At 37.3% G+C, this 20,868-nt stretch overlaps 1 pseudogene; it reads right to left on the minus strand.

Moving 5' to 3' along the window:
* SLC9B1P2 (solute carrier family 9 member B1 pseudogene 2) overlaps nt 1-11,450 on the minus strand; it is a 48,809-nt pseudogene extending 37,359 nt beyond the window's left edge.

Here is a 20,868-nt window from a genome sequence, read left to right on the forward strand (position 1 = left end):
TACCTATAGAGAGACTTAGATAACCACAGAATAGTGGGAGACTTCAACATCTCACTGACGGTACTAGACAGATCATAGAGACAGAAAATGAACAAAGATATTCAGGACTTGAAGTCAACACTTGGCTAAATGGACCTAACAGCCATCTACAGAACACTCCACCCAACAACAACAGAATATATCTTCCTCTCATCTGTACATGGCATATATTGTAAAATTGATCACACTATCAGTCTAAAATTATTTTCAGTAAATTAAAAGAAACCCCTGAAATCATGCCAACCACAATCTTGGACCGCTCAGTGTAACAAAAATAGAAGTCAACACTAAGAAGAACTCTCAAAACCATACAATTACATGGAAATTAAACAACCTGTGCCTGAATGACTTTTGGGTAAACAATGAAATTAAGGCAGAAACCAATAAATTCTTTGAAACTAATTAAAACAAAGATACAACATTCTAGGCTCTCTAAGACACAGGCAAAGCAGTGTTAAGGGAAAAGTTTATCGTGCTAAATGCCCATATTGAAAAGTTAGAAGGATCTTAAATTAACAACCTAATATCATACTTAAAGGAAATAGAAAAACAAGAGGAAACCAACCCAAAGCTAGCAGAAGAGAATAAATAACCAAAATCAGAGCAGAATGGAATAAAATTGAGTCATGAAAAGGCATACAAAGGATAAATGAAACTAAAAGCTGGTTCTTCAAAAGAATAAATAAATTTGATAGGTCACTAGCTAGACCAATAAGGAAAAAAAAAAAGAGAAGATACAAAAAACACAATCAGAAATGGTAAAGTGGACATTACCGCCAACCACACAGAAATACAAAAAACTCTCAGAGACTATGATGAACATGTTTATGCAAACAAAGTAGAACACCTACAAGAAATGGGTAAATTTCGGGGGGAGGAGCCAAGATGGCCGAATAGGAACATCTCCGGTCTACAGCTCCCAGCGTGAGCAACACAGAAGACGGGTGATTTCTGCATTTCCATCTGAGGTACCGGGTGCATCTCACTAGGGAGTGCCAGACAGTGGGCACAGGCCAGTGGGTGTGCTCACTGTGCGTGAGCCAAAGCAGGGCGAGGCATTGCCTCACCTGGGAAGCGCAAGGGGTCAGGGAGTTCTCTTTCTGAGTCAAAGAAAGGGGTGATGGACGCACCTGGAAAATCGGGTCACTCCCACCCGAATATTGCGCTTTTCAGACTGGCTTAAAAAACGGCGCACCACGAGACTATATGCCACACCTGGCTTGGAGGGTCCTACGCCCACGGAATCTCGCTGATTGCTAGCACAGCAGTCTGAGATCAAACTGCAAGGAGGCAGCGAGGCTGGGGGAGGGGCGCCCTCCATTGCCCAGGCTTGCTTAGGTAAACAAAGCAGCTGGGAAGCTCGAACTGGGTGGAGCCCACCACAGCACAAGGAGGCCTGCCTGCCTCTGTAGGCTCCACCTCTGGGGGCAGGGCACAGACAAACAAAAAGACAGCAGCAACCTCTGCAGACTTAAATGTCCCTGTCTGACAGCTTTGAAGAGAGCAGTGGTTCTCCCAGCACGCAGCTGGAGATCTGAGAACCGGCAGACTGCCTCCTCAAGTGGGTCCCTGACCCCTGACCCCCGAGCAGCCTAACTGGGAGGCACCCCCCAGCAGGGGCACACTGACACCTCACACGGCAGGGTATTCCAACAGACCTGCAGCTGAGGGTCCTGTCTGTTAGAAGGAAAACTAACAAACAGAAAGGACATCCACACCGAAAACCCATCTGTACATCACCATCATCAAAGACCAAAAGTAGATAAAACCACAAAGATGGAGAAAAAACAGAACAGAAAAACTGGAAACCCTAAAACGCAGAGCGTCTCTCCTCCTCCAAAGGAACGCAGTTCCTCACTAGCAACAGAACAAAGCTGGATGGAGAATGACTTTGACGAGCTGAGAGAAGAAGGCTTCAGACGATCAAATTACTCTGAGCTACGGGAGGACATTCAAACCAAAGGCAAAGAAGTTGAAAACTTTGAACAAAATTCAGAAGAATGTATAACTAGAATAACCAATACAGAGAAGTGCTTAAAGGAGCTGATGGAGCTGAAAACCAAGGCTCGAGAACTACGTGAAGAATGCAGAAGCCTCAGGAGCCGATGCGATCAACTGGAAGAAAGGGTATCAGCAATGGAAGATGAAATGAATGAAATGAAGTGAGAAGGGAAGTTTAGAGAAAAAAGAATAAAAAGAAATGAGCAAAGCCTCCAAGAAATATGGGACTATGAGAAAAGACCAAATCTATGTCTGATTGGTGTACCTGAAAGTGATGGGGAGAATGGAACCAAGTTGGAAAACACTCTGCAGGACATAATCCAGGAGAACTTCCCCAATCTAGCAAGGCAGGCCAACATTCAGATTCAGGAAAAACAGAGAACACCACAAAGATACTCCTGGAGAAGAGCAACTCCAAGACACAAAATTGTCAGATTCACCAAAGTTGAAATGAAGGAAAAAATGTTAAGGACAGCCAGAGAGAAAGGTCGGGTTACCCTCAAAGGGAAGCCCATCAGACTAACAGTGGATCTCTCGGCAGAAACCCTACAAGCCAGAAGAGAGTGGGGGCCAATATTCAACATTCTTAAAGAAAAGAATTTTCAACCCAGAATTTCATATCCAGCCAAACTAAGCTTCATAAGTGAAGGGGAAATAAAATACTCTACAGACAAGCAAATGCTGACTCATTTTGTCACCACCAGGCCTGCCCTAAAAGAGCTCCTGAAGGAAGTGCTAAATATGGAAAGGAACAACCGGTACCAGCCCCTGCAAAATCATGCCAAAATGTAAAGACCATCGAGACTAGGAAGAAACTGCATCAACTAACGAGCAAAATCACCAGCTAATATCATAATGACAGGATCAAATTCACACATAACAATATTAACTTTAAATATAAATGGACTAAATTCTCCAATTAAAAGACACAGACTGGCAAATTGGATGAAGAGTCAAGATCCATCAGTGTGCTGTATTCAGGAAACCCATCTCATATGCAGAGACACACATAGGCTCAAAATAAAAGGATGGAGGAAGATCTGCCAAGCAAATGGAAAACAAAAAAAGGCAGGGGTTGCAATCCTAGTCTCTGATAAAACAGACTTTAAACCAACAAAGATCAAAAGAGACAAAGAAGGCCATTACATAATGGTAAAGGGATCAATTCAACAAGAAGAGCTAACTATCCTAAATATATATGCACCCAATACGGGAGCACCCAGATTCATAAAGCAAGTCCTGAGTGACCTACAAAGAGACGTAGACTCCCACACATTAATAATGGGAGACTTTAACACCACACTGTCAACATTAGACAGATCAACGAGACAGAAAGTCAACAAGGATACCCAAGAATTGAACTCAGCTCTGCACCAAGCGGACCTAATAGACATCTACAGAACTCTCCACCCCAAATCAACAGAATATACATTTTTTTCAGCACCACACCACACCTATTCCAAAATTGACCACATAGTTGGAAGTAAAGCTCTCCTCAGCAAATGTAAAAGAACAGAAATTATAACAAACTATCTCTCAGACCACAGTGCAATCAAACTAGAACTCAGGATTAAGAATCCCACTCAAAGCTGCTCAACTACATGGAAACTGAATAACCTGCTCCTGAATGACTACTGGGTACATAACGAAATTAAGGCAGAAATAAAGATGTTCTTTGAAACCAATGAGAAGAAAGACACAACATACCAGAATCTCTGGGATGCATTCAAAGCAGTGTGTAGAGGGAAATTTATAGCACTAAATGCCCACAAGAGAAAGCAGGAAAGATCCAAAATTGACACCCTAATATCACAATTAAAAGAACTAGAAAAGAAAGAACAAACACATTCAAAAGCTAGCAGAAGGCAAGAAATAACTAAAATCAGAGCAGAACTGAAGGAAATAGAGACACAAAAAACCCTTCAAAAAATCAATGAATCCAGGAGCTGGTTTCTTGAAAGGATCAACAAAATTGATAGACCGCTAGCAAGACTAATAAAGAAAAAAAGAGAGAAGAACCAAATAGACACAATAAAAAATGATAAAGGGGATATCACCACCGATCCCACAGAAATACAAACTACCATCAGAGAATACTACAAACACCTCTACGCAAATAAACTAGAAAATCTAGAAGAAATGGATAAATTCCTCGACACATACACTCTCCCAAGACTAAACCAGGAAGAAGTTGAATCTCTGAATAGACCAATAACAGGAGCTGAAATTGTGGCAATAATCAATAGTTTACCAACCAAAAAGAGTCCAGGACCAGATGGATTCACAGCGGAATTCTACCAGAGGTACAAGGAGGAACTGGTACCATTCCTTCTGAAACTATTCCAATCAATAGAAAAAGAGGGAATCCTCCCTAACTCATTTTATGAGGCCAGCATCATTCTGATACCAAAGCCGGGCAGAGACACAACCAAAAAAGAGAATTTTAGACCAATATCCTTGATGAACATTGATGCAAAAATCCTCAATAAAATACTGGCAAACCGAATCCAGCAGCACATCAAAAAGCTTATCCACGACGATCAAGTGGGCTTCATCCCTGGGATGCAAGGCTGGTTCAATATATGCAAATCAATAAATGTAATCCAGCATATAAACAGAGCCAAAGACAAAAACCACATGATTATCTCAACAGATGCAGAAAAAGCCTTTGATAAAATTCAACAACCTTCCATGCTAAAAACTCTCAATAAATTAGGTATTGATGGGATGTATTTCAAAATAATAAGAGCTATCTATGACAAACCCACAGCCAATATCATACTGAATGGGCAAAAACTGGAAGCATTCCCTTTGAAAACTGGCACAAGACAGGGATGCCCTCTCTCACCACTCTTATTCAACATAGCGTTGGAAGTTCTGGCCAGGGCAATTAGGCAGGAGAAGGAAATAAAGGGTATTCAATTAGGAAAAGAGGAAGTCAAATTGTCCCTGTTTGCAGATGACATGATTGTATATCTAGAAAACCCCATTGTCTCAGCCCAAAATCTCCTTAAGCTGATAAGCAACTTCAGCAAAGTCTCAGGATACAAAATCAATGTACAAAAATCACAAACATTCTTATACACCAACAACAGACAAACAGAGAGCCAAATCATGAGTGAACTCCCATTCACAATTGCTTCAAAGAGTATAAAATACCTAGGAATCCAACTTACAAGGGATGTGAAGGACCTCTTCAAGGAGAACTACAAACCACTGCTCAAGGAAATAAAAGAGGATACAAACAAATGGAAGAACATTCCATGCTCATGGATAGGAAGAATCAATATCGTGAAAATGGCCATACTGCCCAAGGTAATTTACAGATTCAATGCCATCCCCATCAAGCTACCAATGACTTTCTTCACAGAATTGGAAAAAACTACTTTAAAGTTCATATGGAACCAAAAAAAGAGCCCGTATTGCCAAGTCAATCCTAAGCCAAAAGAATAAAGCTGGAGGCATCACACTACCTGACTTCAAACTATACTACAAGCTACAGTAACCAAAACAGCATGGTACTGGTACCAAAACAGAGATATAGATCAATGGAACAGAACAGAGCCCTCAGAAATAACGCCGCATTCCTACAACTATCTGATCTTTGACAAACCTGAGAAAAACAAGCAATGGGGAAAGGATTCCCTATTTAATAAATGGTGCTGGGAAAACTGGCTAGCCATATGTAGGAAGCTGAAACTGGATCCCTTCCTTACACCTTATACAAAAATCAATTCAAGATGAATTAAAGATTTAAACGTTAGACCTAAAACCATAAAAACCCTAGAAGACAACCTAGGTATTACCATTCAGGACATAGGCATGGGCAAAGAATTCATGTCCAAAACACCAAAAGCAATGGCAACAAAAGCCAAAATTGACAAATGGGATCTAATTAAACTAAAGAGCTTCTGCACAGCAAAAGAAACTACCATCAGAGTGAACAGGCAACCTACAACATGGGAGAAAATTTTCGCAACCTACTCATCTGACAAAGGGCTAATATCCAGAATCTACAATGAACTCAAACAAATTTACAAGAAAAAAACAAACAACCCCATCAAAAAGTGGGTGAAGGATATGAACAGACACTTCTCAAAAGAAGACATTTATGCAGCCAAAAAACACATGACAAAATGTTCATCATCACTGGCCATCAGAGAAATGCAAATCAAAACCACAATGAGATACCATCTCACACCAGTTAGAATGGCAATCATTAAAAAGTCAGGAAACAACAGGTGCTGGAGAGGATGTGGAGAAATAGGAACACTTTTACACTGTTGGTGGGACTGTAAACTAGTTCAACCATTGTGGAAGTCAGTGTGGCGATTCCTCAGGGATCTAGAACTAGAAATACCATTTGACCCAGCCATCCCATTACTGGGTATATACCCAAATGACTATAAATCATGCTGCTATAAAGACACATGCACACGTATGTTTATTGTGGCATTATTCACAATAGCAAAGACTTGGAACCAACCCAAATGTCCAACAATGATAGACTGGATTAAGAAAATGTGGCACATATACACCATGGAATACTATGCAGCCATAAAAAATGATGAGTTCATGTCCTTTGTAGGGATATGGATGAAATTGGAAATCATCATTCTCAGTAAACTATCACAAGAACAAAAAACCAAACACCGCATATTCTCACTCATAGGTGGGAATTGAACAATGAGATCACATGGACACAGGAAGGGGAATATCACACTCTGGGGACTGTGGTGGGGTGGGGGGAGGGGGGAGGGATAGCATTGGGAGATATACCTAATGCTAGATGACGAGTTAGTGGGTGCAGCGCACCAGCATGGCACATGTATACATATGTAACTAACCTGCACAATGTGCACATGTACCCTAAAACTTAAAGTATATAAAAAAAAAAAAAAGAAATGGGTAAATTTCTGGAAACATACAACCTCCCAAGATTGAACTAGGAAGAAATTGAAATCCTGAACAAAGCAAAAAATGTGTTTTGAAACTGAATGAGTAATAAAAAGTCTCTGAGCCAAAAAAAGAAAAAAAAATGCAAGCCCAGGACCCAACAGATTCAGAGACAAATTCTACCGGAAGTGTAAAGAAGAGCTGGTATCAATGCTACTGAAATTGTTCCGAAAAAAGGAGGAGGAAGGATCCCTCCCTAACTCATTTTATGAGGTCAGCATCATTCAGATATGAAAACCTGGCAGAGACACAACAAAAAAGAAAACTTCAGGACAGTTATCACTGATGATCATAGATCATCATTCTTCCCTGAACTAGAAAAAGCATTCCTAAAATTCATGTGGAACTCAAAAATAGCCCGCATAACGAAAGCAAGACTAAGCAAAAAGAACAAATGTGGATGCATCACATTGCTTGACTTCAAGCTGTACTATAAGTCTATAGTCACCAAAGCAGCATAATACTGCTATAAAAATAGGCACGTAGACTAATGGAATCGAATAGAGAACTGAGAAATAAAGCCAAATACTTAAGCCAACTGATCTTTAACAAAGGAAACAAAAACATAAAGTTGGGAAAGGACACCATATTCAACAAATGGTGCTGGGTTAATTGGCAAGCCATATGTAGAAGAATGAAACTGCATCCTCATCTCTCACCTTATACAAAAATCAACTCAAGATGGATCAAAGACTTAAATCTAACACCTAAAACTATAAAAATTCTAGAAGGTAACATTGGAAATACCCTTCTAGACATTTGCTTAGGCAAAGACTTCATGACCAAGAACCCAAAAGCAAAGGCAACAAAAGCAAAGATAAGTAGATGGGACTTAATTAAACTAAGAAGCTTCTACACAGCAAAAGAATTAATCAGCAGAGTAAAAAGACAACCTATATAGAGTGGGAGAAAATCTTTACAAACTATGCATCCAACAAAGTGCTAATATGTAGAATCCATAAGGAACACAAACAAATCAGCAAGAAAAAAACAAACTACCCTATCAAAAAGTGTGTTAAGGACATGAATAGACACTTCCCAAAAGAAGATATAAATGGCCAAGAAACATGAAAAAATCCTCAATATCACTAATTATCAGGGAAATGCAAACAAAACCACAATGCGATACCATCTCACTCCTCCAAGAATAGCCATAATCAAAAAATTAAAAAAAAATAGATGTTGCCATGGGTGTGGTAAAAAGGGAACACCTTTACACTGCTGGGGGGAATGTAAACTAGGACAACCACTATGGAAAAGAGTATGAAGATTTCTTAAATAATTAAAAGTAGATCTACCATTTGATCTAGCAATCCCACTACTAGGTATCTACCCAGAGGAAAAGAAGTCTTTATATGAAAAAAATACTTGGACACACGTTTACTGCAGCACAATTTGCAATTGTGAAAGATATGGAACTAGCTCAAATGCCCATCAATCAATGAATGCATAGAGAAAATGTGGTGCATATATATATGTGTATATACACACATATATGTGTATATATGTGTATATACACATATATGTGTATATATATGTGTATATACACACATATATGTGTGTATATATGTGTATATATGTGTATATACACACATATGTGTATATATGTGTATATATATGTGTATGTGTGTGTATATATATACACACACAGACCATGGACAGAATACTACTCAGCTATAAAAAGGAATGAAATAATGGCATTCACAGCAGCCTGGAAGGAGTCGGACACCATTATTCTAAGTGAAGTAATTCAGGAATGAAAAAACCAAACATTGTATATTCTGACTTATAAGTGGGAGTTATGCTATGAGGATGCAAAAGCACAAGAATGATACAATGGACTTTGGGGACTTAGGGGGAAGAGTAGGAGGAGGGTGAGGGATAAAAGACTACACCTTGGGTGCAGTGTACAGTGCTCTGGTGATGGGTGCACCAAAATCTCAGAAATTACCACTAAAAATATTTTCCATGTAAACAAACACCACCTGTTCCTTAAAAACTAATGAAAAAAAATAAAAAAGACATGAGATCAACCTAAATGTCCATCAATGGTGAACTGGATAAAGAAAATGTGGCACATATACACCATAGAATAATACACAAAGTTAATTAACGCAGGAGCAGGAAACCAAATATCCCATATTCTCACTTATAAGTGGGAGCTAAACACTGAGTACACATGGACAGAAAGAAGGGATCAATCGTCACTCTGCATACCAAACCCCTGTGACATGCAATTTATCCATATAACAAGCCTGCTAATGTACCCCTTGAGCCAAAATAAAAATTGGAGAAGAAAAAAACTCCTAAGAGTTGTCACTTTGGGTAGAGTTATGGGCATTATGATTTGAAGGCATAGTTTAAGGTCATTCCTCCTTTATTTATAAAGTTCTAATTTTTAAAATAAAAGTGCATTTGAGTATTTTATCATAAACATTAATTTAAAAATTCACTGGATTTTGTAGTAACTATGTAATGGATGAACTTTGCTATGAGTGTCATTGGAATGGATAAGCAGAGACAAAAGTTGATTAATTAAGAAATGAAAAGGAGTTAGGATCTAGAGACAGTAGTTATAGACTTATTTTGAGGAATTCAAACATAAGACAAATGGATGGTAGATAAAGATGGATGGGGCATTGGATATACGGCAAGAGATTTTGTTTGCTTGCTTTCTTCTGTCTATATAAAATGTTTCTCAAATATATATATATATATACACATACATATATATGAAATGTGCAACTGTATTTACATATAGCCATGAGGAAGAGGCCATTAGATAGATTAAAGCATACAGATATGTTATAATACAGATGAAAAGGAATAAATTGATCACGCGAATTTTCTTGATGATAAACATTTAGGGGCTATTAATGTTTGTTAAAAAATTTCGTGCAATTTGGGACATGCTCTGCTTTTAATCAAGTGCTTTCCAAGGATTTTAACACTGTGAAATGAATTTTAATAGAGCTTTTCTATACAATATTCTGAATATTTTAACAGTTTTAACCAAGCCTCTTTAATTGAATATTTTCGTAAGAAAAAATGAGAAAGAAATTACCCTAATAGAATTGCCCATTGCCAGGAAAATTTCATAATGAAGTGGGATAAAACAGCAGCTGCACTTGCCTCCATAAGGCATGGACCTATAGCCAATCTGAAACAAACCACCTTCAAATGCCTCAAAGCCTGAAACACAAAACAGTCACATTTGATACATTTACAATGGCCAAAAAGAAAATTATTTTAACAAATGTTGGTCTATAAAGTCTTTTTTCATAAGAAGCTTTCACTAAACAAAATCTCATTTCAACAGATTGTCCCACTGGACTTTGAACTCTATTATATTTTATATGTCATCATAGGTTGGATTATAAACAATTTCATCTTTTATAAAATATTATTGTATATTTTAATTATTAAAAGATCAATTTTACTGTGATTAAATAGTTAATGCTACCTTCCTGAACTTTCCTAATACATAGTATAATAATAGTGTCCTATTAGTGTTTTCCCATTAACTTTTTGATATGAACTGTTTGATTAACTTAATAAGTATAAATACAATACTAACATGCCAAAGAAAATAACTTAAAAACTGCATAATTCATTTTAAAAGGGAGAACTTTTCAATTTTCTCCTTGGTTCATACTTTCTACTGGAGAATATAATCTCATTGGCTATAATTATTTGTGCTCGAGCTATTTCTATTAAACCACATTTGCCACATATATTTGAGTGGCTGTCATATTCATGAATAGTCATCTTCTTATAGATGGAATTTATGATCCCTAGAATGTAATATTTTAAGAAATGTTTTAAAAGATTAGATTTTACAATAATGCAAAGATAATCAGGAACATAATCCTGTAGAGAAAACGTCATAAAAAATTACTGAAATCCTTAATCACCCTAAAAAAGAAAAAGAATTGTATAAGGTTTTTCTTATAAAACCTTTGTTTGTTTGTTTTGTTTTGTTTTGTTTTTTGAGACAGAGTCTCACTCTGTCCCCCAGGCTGGATTGCAGTGGCATTATCTCAGCTCACTGCAACCTCTGTCACTCAGGTTCAAGCGATTCTCTTGCCTCAGCCTCTCGAGTAGCTGGGATTACCAGGTAAATGCCACCATGCCCAGCTAATTTTTGTAGATTACAGGCATGAGCCATCATGCCCGGCCTTTTTTTCTTTATCTTAGGTTTGTTTACAGACTCCACTTGGAACAGGTAAATAAAATTTTTGCTTCTTTTTCTTTCTCACCATCCTCTAATATTTGAAATAACCTTACTCGATTTGTAATTGTAAATCTACCTGTGGATCGAGTCCAAGCCCAGCTCGTATTAGAATAATGTTAAGGGCAATGCTTCTTAAAATTGAAGACCATGCGTTAGGAACATGGACATGTTCATTGATGAATGGAACATTCCTAATTGTAAAACCAGCCAGTAACATCCCTTAAAAGAAAGAAAATAAACATACATGACAGTTCATTTTTCTGAGAAAGAAAACAGAAATGTTTACTTTATTTTCTAATGCACTATGTCTCTCATTATTTTGGTAAAGGGCAGGTTACAAGCAAGTAGAGAAGGCAGCATGAATAAAGGAATGGCGATAAGAAACAATACACCTAAATGGGGTTCAACAAGTAATTTAGTGTTGCTGGAACATACAGGGCAAGGAAAGGAGGGAGAAAAATGAGCTTGGTGGGCCAGATCATAGAAAGGTCTCCCCCCACTTTGGCAAAGTAAGGCACCATGGGAAGGTTTTAGGCAGGAAGTAACATAATGAGTCTTGTGATTTTTATATGACGGCCTTGGTGAATTAGTTAGGGATAAAACTGGAGACAGAGACCAAATTGAAGGCTCTGCCACAGTCCACGCAAAAGTTGGAAACAAATAGCCTAAGCTAGAGCAAAAGAGAAAGTTTGGAGAGGAGTAAAATGATTCAATAAATACTTAGAAGGTGCTGCAAGAAAACTGTGGATACAGAAGGAACAGTAGAGATAAGATGTAGAGATTATCTCTACTGACAGTGTACCGAATATATATTTATTTTGGGGGACAGGGTCTCATTCTGTTGCCCAAGGTGAGTGCAGTGATGCAAACATTGCTCACTGTAGGCTTAACCTCCTGAGCTCAAGTGATCCTCTTGCCTTAGCCTCCTGAGTAGCTGAGACCCAGAAAAATTTTTAATATTTTGTAAAGACAAGGTCTGCTATGTTGCCCAGGCTGGTTTTGAACTCCTGGGCTCAGGTGATCCTCCTTCCTTGGCCTCCCAAAGTGCTGGGATTATGGGCATGAGCCACCATGCCTGGCCCACTGTACTGAATATTTAGATATATTTGAATACAGTAAGTTCTCACTTAACGTCGTCAATAGGTGATTGGAAATGGCAACTTTGAGTAAAATGGTATATAACAAAACCAATTTTACCATAGGCTAAATGATATAAACAAGAGTCAATTTCCTACATCATATTTCTGGTCACAAAACATCACCAAGCTTCTAAATAAAGATCCAAAACACTTCTAGTATTAAACAATGAAATAAATGTGAGCTCTACATACATTTTACAAAGTTTTATAAAAACAAATAAGATAATTCTTTACTTAATTTTTGGTGAATCCACTAGTGATGGTGGTTATAGCAGTGATGGTTAAAAATCAAAGAATAAATGTTTACAAAGTGAAAATTGTAAGGAGCACCTCCTCCCACTATGCAGTTCAAAAACAAACACAAATATGGTAGGCTGGCTGAGAGTTTTCATATCACATTGTTTATTGTCTTGCATTTGTATGGTTGTCATATACTTAACAAAATTTTATTTTACAATAATTTATATTCACTCATTTATTCATTGTACAATCCACTAGTTCAGGGTCATTGTACAATCCACTAGGATACTAGTTCAGGGTCAAAGGTGACTGAAACTTAATCCAAAAAAATCAAGGAGGGACTCCCTCCCTAACACATTCTATGAATCTAGTATCACAATTATACCCAAATCAGGCAAAGCCATACACACACACACACACACACACACACACACACACACACTACTGGTCAATATCCCTGATGAACATAGATGCAAAAATTCTCAACTAGCAAAATGAATTCTATAGTACATCAAAAAGATATTATAGTTAAGTGGGTTTTACTCCAGAAATACAAGGATGGTTCAACATGTGAATCATTCATAAAGACATACACACACATATGTTCATTGTGGCACTATTCACAATAAAAAGACATGGAATCAACTTAAATGACTAAATAAAGAAAATGTGGCACATATACACCATGGAATACTATGTAGTCATAAAAAAGAATAGCATCATGTTCTTTGTAGCAACATGGATAGAGCTGAACACCATTATCCTAAGTGAAATAACTCAGAAACAGAAAACTCAAATACCACATGTTCTCACTTATATGTGGGAGCTAAACAATGGGTACATATGGACATAAAGATGGAAATAATAGACACTGAGGAGTTCAAAAGGAGAGAGGGTTGCAGTGAGCCGAGATTGTGCCACTGCACTCCAGCCTGGGTGACAGAGTGAGACTCAGTCTCAATAAAAAAATAAAAAATAAAAAAAAAACCTATATGTGAAATCTTGAAAATGCTAACTTATAATATATGATAGTTAAAAACATCATGGCAATATGATGAGATTTACTTCATTTTATATTTTAAGATAGCTTTTTTATCAGGATGGAAAATAAGAGGATGATTGGCTGTGATAAGAATTCACAACCTTATTGAAGATCACAGTGTCAAGGTGCCAAATCTTTTAAAAGGAACCTGCTAAATCTTTTTATTGAAAGGCTAATTCAACTGATATTTGGCATAAATGTATTATAGGAGGTAATGGCAGGAAGAAATGAACCTAGATTTTGTGGGAATAAATATAAAGTATCTTAGATTATGTGTAGGAAGTAGAGAGAGATTAAGATGAGTAGGTATAAGTTACTAGACATCTTGTTTCTGGCAACTAGGTGATACTCACTGAGGAATCCATAGGTTTCTGTAAAGAACAGACAATAACATGGTAAATTTCCATTTGCTAATTAAATGGCTACCTTTATTTGCTATGAATTATAATTGCTAATGCTTTTAATATTCTTAAAACAGCTTACATGAATTTTTTAGCTATGACCCCTTTCTGACTGTATAGAATTTGCCAGGGTAGAAGAGGAGGATTTTGACTTACTCCAGGCAGAAAGTTAGAACAAAGTTTCTTTCCTCCTCCCCTCTGATTATTGTCATCCTGCAAAACTGGAAGCCTTGGAGGGCTAAACTCTTACTAAAATAATGGACCAGGCTGGGCATGGTGGCTCACGCCTGTAATCCCAGCACTTTGGGAGGCCGAGGTGGGTGGATCACCTGAGGTCAGGAGTTCAAGATAAGCCTGACCAACACGGTGAAACGCCGTCTCTATTAAAAATACAGACAATTAGCCTGGACTGGTGGTGCATGCCTGTAATCCCAGCTACTTGGGAGGCTGAGGTAGGAGAATTGCTTGAACCCAGGAGGCGGATATTGCAGTGAGCTGAGATGGCACCACTTCACTCCAGCCTGGGTAACAAGAGCAAAACTCCATCTCAAGAAAACAAAACAAAACAAAACAAAAAACAAAAAAAAAATAAAAAACATAGACCAGAAAATGTCATCCTATTGACAAATTGAGAAGACAAGGCAGTTTGTCTTAGCTGGTCTCTGTGTGGCATAGTCTTTTTTGAGAATTCATATGTACAACTGGCCTCATCCAACTTATGTGTAGGGCTCAAATTACATTACATGCACAGGTTAGGGATCCCAAAGTTCTAAACCTACCATAAAATTGTCCCTGCATAGAAGTATCCCTAGAACACTTAGTAGATGCTAATTCAAAAAATCTCTAATAGACACTCCTGATCCCAGACTGCATAAAGTCTCAAAGGTAAAGCCAAGTGAATCTGAACTTAAAATAAGAAGAAATATCCCATGAGCAAAAGTTAACAGATACAACGAAGAATGGGATTAGATGTCTAAAAACCTCAGCTAATAGAACCACTAGATAGACACTATAAAATATTTATTTTCAAAGGGACTAGAGACAATTTTTAAAAATTGGAGACATGAGAAGAAGAAATTACTTGAAAGTATTGTAAAATAATTAAATAGAACATCTAGAAAAAACTTTAAAATTTACTCAACTGAAAAAAAACCCACTAAGTACCCAAATAGCAATCTAGACAAAGCTGAAGAGAGAACACAGCAAAGTAGTAGATATGAGGAAATTATTTAAGAGCATAGCACACACACAAAAAAAAAGAGGTGGAAAATGAGATTTAGATTATGGAAAAGACCTAAAACACAACTAATGGTAGTTTCAGAAACATAATTGAAAGAATGAAGAAGACATAATATTTGAGAAGAAAACTGGCTTCAAATTTTACAGAATTGATTAGGGTTTTTATTGATTTGGACACAGGAAGTCAAATGAGTTCTAATCAGGATTAAGTAAAAATAGATACTTAGATAAAATGTTGAGAAACTATAGACTACCAAAGGCAAAAATAAAATCTTAAATAATCTAGACAGAGAAAGAGAGATTAATCATAATTGAATAAAAAATAGAGCAGATTCTCAATTCTTATCAGCAACAATAGAAGATGGAGGATAATTAAATAAAGTCTTCAAAGTACAGAGATAAATAAAACATTCAATGTTGAATTCTGTAGCCAGTTAACTGTCACTCGAAAAAAAGACAAATGAAAGATACTGTCAAACAAACACATTTAAGAACATATGCCATTTTTTACCAGGGAAAAATCTACTGAAAGATATGCTTTAGAAATATGACATAGAATCAAAAAAGACAGAACAATGTGAAAAGAAATTGGTAAAAGGTAGGTTAGTCTAAACAAGTATTTGTTGTGTAACACATTACTAATGAAAATTGTTAATCAGAGGATATAAAGATAAGGTTGGGAGGAGACATGAAAAGGTTGGCAATTTATTTCTACACCAAAACTCCCCCCAGAAATTGGAGAAGTACCAAAAACAATCATTTCAGGACCCTGAAAACTCATCAAAGGCAGTTATCAAATTTAAGAAGCATTTATTCTTGAAAAAAGTGTTAGGGTTTTGGGTAGGATTGGTAAAATATGAGCCCTTCCTGACTGGGGTTGCTACCTGATATGGTTTGGCTTTGTGTCCCCATGCAAATCTCATCTTGAATTGCACTCCCATAATTCCTATGTGTTGTGGGAGGGACCTGGTGGGAGATAATTGAATTATGGGGGTGGCTCCCCCCCATACTGTTCTCGTGGTAGTGGATAAGTCTCACAAGATCGATGGCTTTATCAGGGGTTTCCGCTTTTGCATCTTCCTCATTTTCTCTTGCCGCCACCATGTAAGAAGTGCCTTTCACCTCCCGCCATGATTCTGAGGTCTCCTCAGCCACCTGGAACTATAAGTCCAATTAAACCTCTTTTTCTTCCCAGTCTTGGGTATGTCTTTATCAGCAGAATGAAAACGGACTAATACACTCCCATGTCTCTTCTCACCCCCAAGCTCAGTTGGGAAAAACTGTAGTTTTACAAGTTTGAAGCTGGATGTAAAACCCAGCAGCTTTCCTGTTAGGGCTGGGGGTACGGGTGGATTTGGTATGGAGTAGAGGGAAGAAATCAATGGTTTTGCCAGTTAAATATAGCAGAGTGGTTTGGGAATGAACAGAGAGAATTGCAGATTTGATAGTCTGAGGTTGCAGTTTCAATTGGGGAAGTGGAAGACAAGAGAAAAATTTAAATGAGAGATCCTGAGGGTCAATAGGTGCAGCAAACCACCATGGCACATGTATACCTGTGTAACAAACCTGAATGTTCTGCACATGTATCCTGGAACTCAAAGTAAAATTAAAAAAGAAAGAAAGAGAAAGAAAGAAAGAGAGAAAGAAACAAAGAAAGAAGGAAAGAGGAAGAAAGAAAGAAAAAGAGAGAGAGAAAGAAAAAGAAAGAAAGAAAGAAAGAAAGAAAGAAAAGAAAAGAAAGAAAGAAAGAAAAGAAAAGAAAAGAAAGACACACATGCAAGGCTAGAGTTTTCCAGTTCCAAGTTCCAATTCTCTCACTGAGAAGAGTGGCTCACTGTGCCTAAACAGTTCATACAAACAATGTGGTTTACTCTGAACAGCTGCTTTTCCTCTGGGAGTCTGGAATTCTGGTACATGTGAAGGAGAGCAACCTCCATAAAATCCTGAGTACTGAGTCTCTAATGAGACTCTGGTCCTGGTAGACGACATTGCACATGTGCTGTCAAAATTTCATGCTGGGAAAGAGAAACACATCCTTGTAACTCCACAAGAGATGATTCCAGGAAGCTTGTGCCTGGTATCCTCCAGACTTTACCACATACAACTTTTTCCCTTTGCTAATTTTGCTTTGTATCCATTCACTATAATAAATTAAAAACCTGAGTATTACTAAAAAAAAAGAGAGAGAGAGAGAGAGAAATCCTGGAAAGGAGAGAATCATAGAAAGTTTGAGAAAAGTTCTCCACACATATGGCCAATTGGAAAAGTATGGAAGTGCAAGAAAGACTCAAGAGAGTATGACAAAAAGTAAAAATGAAGTAAGACTTGAGTATTAATTGCAACTTTGAATGCATTCACCCACCCACCCACAGATTATTTGGCAGAGAGTGGAAGCCTTACTAGCTTTAATGTAATGTCTCTCCAAAATCAAGCTATGCAACAGACACAAAGGAAATCCCTAGAAAGACAGGCTAAAACAACAACAACAACAACAACACAATATAAAAGACATCAATGCTGGAAACCACTGGGTAGAAGGATTACACAGCACAAGTATAGGCCAATTACCAAAACATAACAACAACAAAGACAATAACAAATAAAAACCAAATCCAGATTTGCTATCATGTGTAATTAAAGTGTTTAGTTTTCAATTAAAAATTATCAGACATGTAAGGAAACAGGAAAATATGGCTCATACTCTGAAAAAAAAGCAGTGAATAGAAACTGTCTCAATTCAGATATTGGATTTAGAAAGAAAGTTTTCAAAGTATATATTATAAATATGTTCAAATTAAAAATATGATAATGTGCTGTCTAATAGAGGATATGAATAAGGAGACAGAATACATTTAAAAATAGAATCTAGAATTGAAAAGTACAAGAGTTAAAGTGAAAAAATCACTAGCGAGGTTCAATTGCATATTTGACCTTGTAAAAGAAATTATCAGTGAACTTGAAGGTAGACCAATAGAGGTTAATCAATCTGAAGAACAAAAAGAAAAAAGAATGAAGGATAATAAACAGATCCTCAGAAACTTATGGGATACCATCAAGAGCACTAACATATGCATAACTGGAATTCCAGGAGAAGAGAGAGATAAGAGGGCAGAAAAATATTTGAAAACATAATGTCTGAAAACTTCAAAAATGCTATGAAAAACATTAATCTTCAGATATAAGAAGTCCAACAAATCTCAAGTAGGATAAACACAAAGAGATTCACACCTAGAGCCATCCTTGTCAAATTGGTGAAAACCAAGGATAATAAGAAAATCATGAAAGTAGCAAGAGATGACTTATCACATACAGGGGAACAATAATGTTATCAATACTGGCATTTTTATCTGAAAAAAATGGAGGCCTTATGAAGCGACATTTCAAAAGTGGAGGGAAAAATAACTGTCAATTAAGAATTCTGTATCCAGTTAAACGATCCTTCAAAAATGGAGCTGAAATAAAGACATTTCCAGATAAATAAAAATAAAAAGAACTTAACCTTGCTAAAGAAACACTAAAGAAAATGCTTTTAAGATAAAAGGATATGACACCAGATGGCAACTTGAACCTATAAGTAATAAACGGCATGGGAAATGGTAAATAAATTTGTAAGTACAAAAGATTGTATGTGTGTATGTGTGTGTGTGTGTATTCTGATTTCATCTCTTTTTTTAAAAAATCATCTGATTATTATAGGCAATAACTATAACAATACTGCTGAGCTCATAGCATATAAGAGATACATTGGATCAAAGTTGCTATATAACACTGGAATTAAGTAAAACTTATTAAACCAAAGTAGATTGTAAAAAGTGAAGATGATTGATTATTATAATCCCCAAAGGTACTTGGGAGGCTGAGACAGAAGTATTGCTTGAGGCTAGGAGTTTGAGACTAGCCCGAGCAACACAATGAAACTCTGTTGATATAGTTTGGATATGTGTCCCTGCCCAAATCTCATGTTGAATTGTAATCCCCAAAGTTGGAGATAGGTCCTGCTGGGAGGTGAATGGATCATGGGGGCAGATTTCTCATGAATCATTAGTGCCGGCTAATTTGGTATTTTTAGTAGAGACAGGGTTTCTCCATGTTGGTCAGGCTGGTCTTGAACTCCTGACCTCAGGTGATACACCCGCCTCAGCCTCCCAAAGTGCTGGGATTACAGGCATGAGCCATCGTGACTGGCCTAAGCTTTACTTTCTAAAAATTATATTAAAATTGATATTTCTCTATTATCTAATCATAAATTATATCAAATATGCTGTTTTGAATTTTATTTTTCCCTTTAAACATAAAGACACACATTCAGTTCATTGTGCTAGATAAATTAACAGTGCAATCACAAATTAAGAAATGCAATTCAAAGAATTTTGCATACAAGGAGTCCTGAAAGTGTTAATAACTTTTGATGCAAAGATAATTTTATGAAAGTAATAGAATACTAAAAAAAGGTACAAAACAATTATTATGTAAGTATCTTCCTTTTTCTGAATCACCCGTGATTACTTTTTCCACCAAGCAAAAACTGACTACATATGTCAGACCTGTCTCAAATCTCCCCAGCCTCTTTTCCTAAACCTCCTCAGCCTCTCAGGACAGACAGGCTGCTCCTGTACTTTGTGCATTCTGCTATTTTTAGCAAGAGGCCTATTTTGTCAGTGTTGTCTGAATAGTATTTGCCAACTCTCAGACTTTCAGTCACTTATTTGTTTATTTATTTATTTATTTGTCTCCTTTTCTTGTATTTCCCTTTTCCTTTTCTTTCCTTTCTTTTTCCCTTTCCTCCTCCCTTCCTTTGCTTACTTATTTTTTTCCCTTTAATTCCCATTCACTATTTCCATGACTGTCAAATAGTAGGTTGATCCTTTAAAATATTCCTTTTTTAAAATTTATTGTACTTTAAGTTCTGGGTTACATATGCAGAACGTGCAAGTTTGTTACATAGGTATACACGTGCCATGTGGTTTGCTGCACCCATCTACAATATATCTTAAAATGAATAAAAGTGGAAACACACAGGAGACAGGGTGTATGGGGTGAGTGGGTTGCCAAGTGGATGGTGGCAGGGTGCTCCACGGTGGCCAGTAGGGCTAAGTGTTGTGTATTCCAAGCATGGCGGGGTTCCTGCCTTCCTGTGTGGCAGACTGTGGCATCAGGTAAGGGCCACTCAGTGCCCGCCCTGGCTCCTCCATTGCCTTGCTCTCAGCCCCTGACATCCAGCCCATACCTGGAGATTGAGCTGCACCCACTGCTCTGGGTCTCAGCCCTGTGATCACCTCAGCAGATATTCCGAGCTTGGCTGTGCAGGCAACACTGAGCCATAGTTTACTATTCTTTCATGCATTTCTATCAGAGAGTCAGCAAAGGTAGTTGACAAAGCCCAAGGGAGAATGTTGAGGGGAGTTGATGAGCTTGACTTTTTCATACAGGATGAAGCCATTGATAAATCTATGTATGCTACAAAGTGGTCAATATGACATGGAATCACTGAAGACTGGGATATTATGGAAAGGTTCATGGAGCAAGTGGTTTTTAAATATCTTTGAGCAGAATCTGAGGACCATTATTTTTTAATGA

Source organism: Homo sapiens, chromosome 2 (assembly GCF_000001405.40).
Source record: "Homo sapiens chromosome 2, GRCh38.p14 Primary Assembly".
In the NCBI taxonomy this organism is placed as follows: Eukaryota; Metazoa; Chordata; class Mammalia; order Primates; family Hominidae; genus Homo; species Homo sapiens.